Raw genomic sequence first — 1,796 nt, forward strand, 5'->3', positions numbered from 1 at the left:
AAAATCTATCTTGAACAAACTTGCTTACATCATTTATTTTTAAATAAAAAAGAACCACTATTGGGAGAAGGTAGTGCTTGATTTTTTCTTCTTGGCAGAGTTCATTCCATAGCCTGCATGAAAGCCAAGATTCTGTGTGTTTGGTTTTGTTATCTCTGTGCCCTACTCGAGTTTTATTTATGGTTGCAAAGCTACAGTGTCTATAAATTAGACTTCCATACATTTTCTTTTGATATTTTATCTGAAAAGCAAATAATATCAATGGCATGCTTACTACTTGATGAAACTTACTAAGCAGATCTTACAATGGTACACTTTTTACCTAGAGTTGTTACATCTTCTGTTACGATTCCCACCCAACCTGGGAAATAAAAGCAATTTTTACAAAGTTAACCTGAAAAAGATAAAAATTCATTTTTGCTTCATTCTAAAATCTCCAGCTGGAAATGGAGAGAAGATCAAATTGTTTGTCAGCTGTGGCTCCCTCCTCCTTTTTGAAGAGAACTAAATATGCGTGCTTAGTTAGGCCCATTGTTTTGTAAAATCACATCTATTTTCTTTGCTATTGTCGCTGTGAAGCATGAATATAGCATGCTGCCTGCTGGGCTGGAAATACACCCGTCGAGCCAATCCCGTACTTCATTTATGATCTATTATTCTCCATTATTCCTGCAGAGCTTCTGATTGCATTCCTATTAATCGTTCTAATTTGCTCTTCATTATGCTATTTGCCATTCAGTGTTGGGCCTCTACTCGGTTGACTTCCAGTGTTTAGTAACTTATGTTGAGATGCAGCTTTCTTTAGATTGGTGCCGCTTGAGAACGCAGACACCCAGTATCTTTGCTGCCTCCGAAAGGGCACCGCAGAGGCCTTATGTGCCCATCTCATGTGGATGGCCAACAGGTTAGGTCCCTTTATTTATAATCTAGTATGCATCCCTCGTCCTCAGCTCTTTACTAAATGTCCACTGGCTGCCAGGCCTGTGCCAGGTGCTGGGATAATGAGCCTGCAGGAGCTCAAGCCTGCTGTGGGAAGTGGGCCAGGAGCCCAGGGCACATCCTCTAGTAGACCCTATAGGACCCTGTGCCAGTTAGAACGTGTTGAACTGCAAGTAATGGAAACTCACCTTCAACGGAGCAAACATCAGGGGAAATTGACCATCTCCTGAAACAAAAGTCAGGAGATAAGGCTCTCCAGGGCTCACGCATGTGAAACTTAGGACTCAGATCATTTTCACCTTTCTGCTCCTCCGCCCCCGGCATTCCAGCTTCTCCCTGTGCTTACACGGGAGCTGAAGGAGTTTTAAGTGAGACGTCCACACACAACTGTTTCAGAGAAACAAGATAGGGGTTGACATTTCTTTGTATCTCTTGTTAAAAGTGAATAAATCTTTCCTAGAAACCCCCCACCAGCCTATCCCTTGGGTCTTGTTGGACAAAATCGCATCATATGCTCATGTTTAAACCAACCACTGGCAAGTTATATGAGGTGGCCACAATTGGCTAGGACCCATCAGGAGCTTGGAAAGTGGATGAGGCAGTCTCCCCTAAACATGTGGCTGCACAGGGGAGATGAAATAGCTAAACAAACTCAAGTCTGTATTAGGAAGCAGAAAAGGAGACTGTTATGGTCTAAATGTTTGTGTCCCTCCAAAATTTATATTTTGAAACCTGATCCCCAATGCAATAGTATTCAGACGTGGGGCCTTTAGGAGATGGTTAGGTCATAACAGCTTTGCCCTCATGAATGGGAGTTAGTGCCCCTATTAAGGAGAGTCGAGAGAGTGTTTGTCCTT

The 1,796-nt window shown here is 42.6% G+C and overlaps 1 annotated feature.

The window, feature by feature from the left end:
• Nucleotides 307-860: an enhancer, noted in NCBI's record as "OCT4-NANOG-H3K4me1 hESC enhancer chr6:3894715-3895268 (GRCh37/hg19 assembly coordinates)". NCBI's record gives its function as "activates a minimal SCP1, AML or CMV promoter by ChIP-STARR-seq in primed H9 embryonic stem cells {active_cell/tissue: H9 hESC(primed)}" and the evidence as "EXISTENCE:reporter gene assay evidence [ECO:0000049][PMID:30033119]".

Source organism: Homo sapiens, chromosome 6, assembly GCF_000001405.40.
Source record: "Homo sapiens chromosome 6, GRCh38.p14 Primary Assembly".
Taxonomy (NCBI): Eukaryota; Metazoa; Chordata; class Mammalia; order Primates; family Hominidae; genus Homo; species Homo sapiens.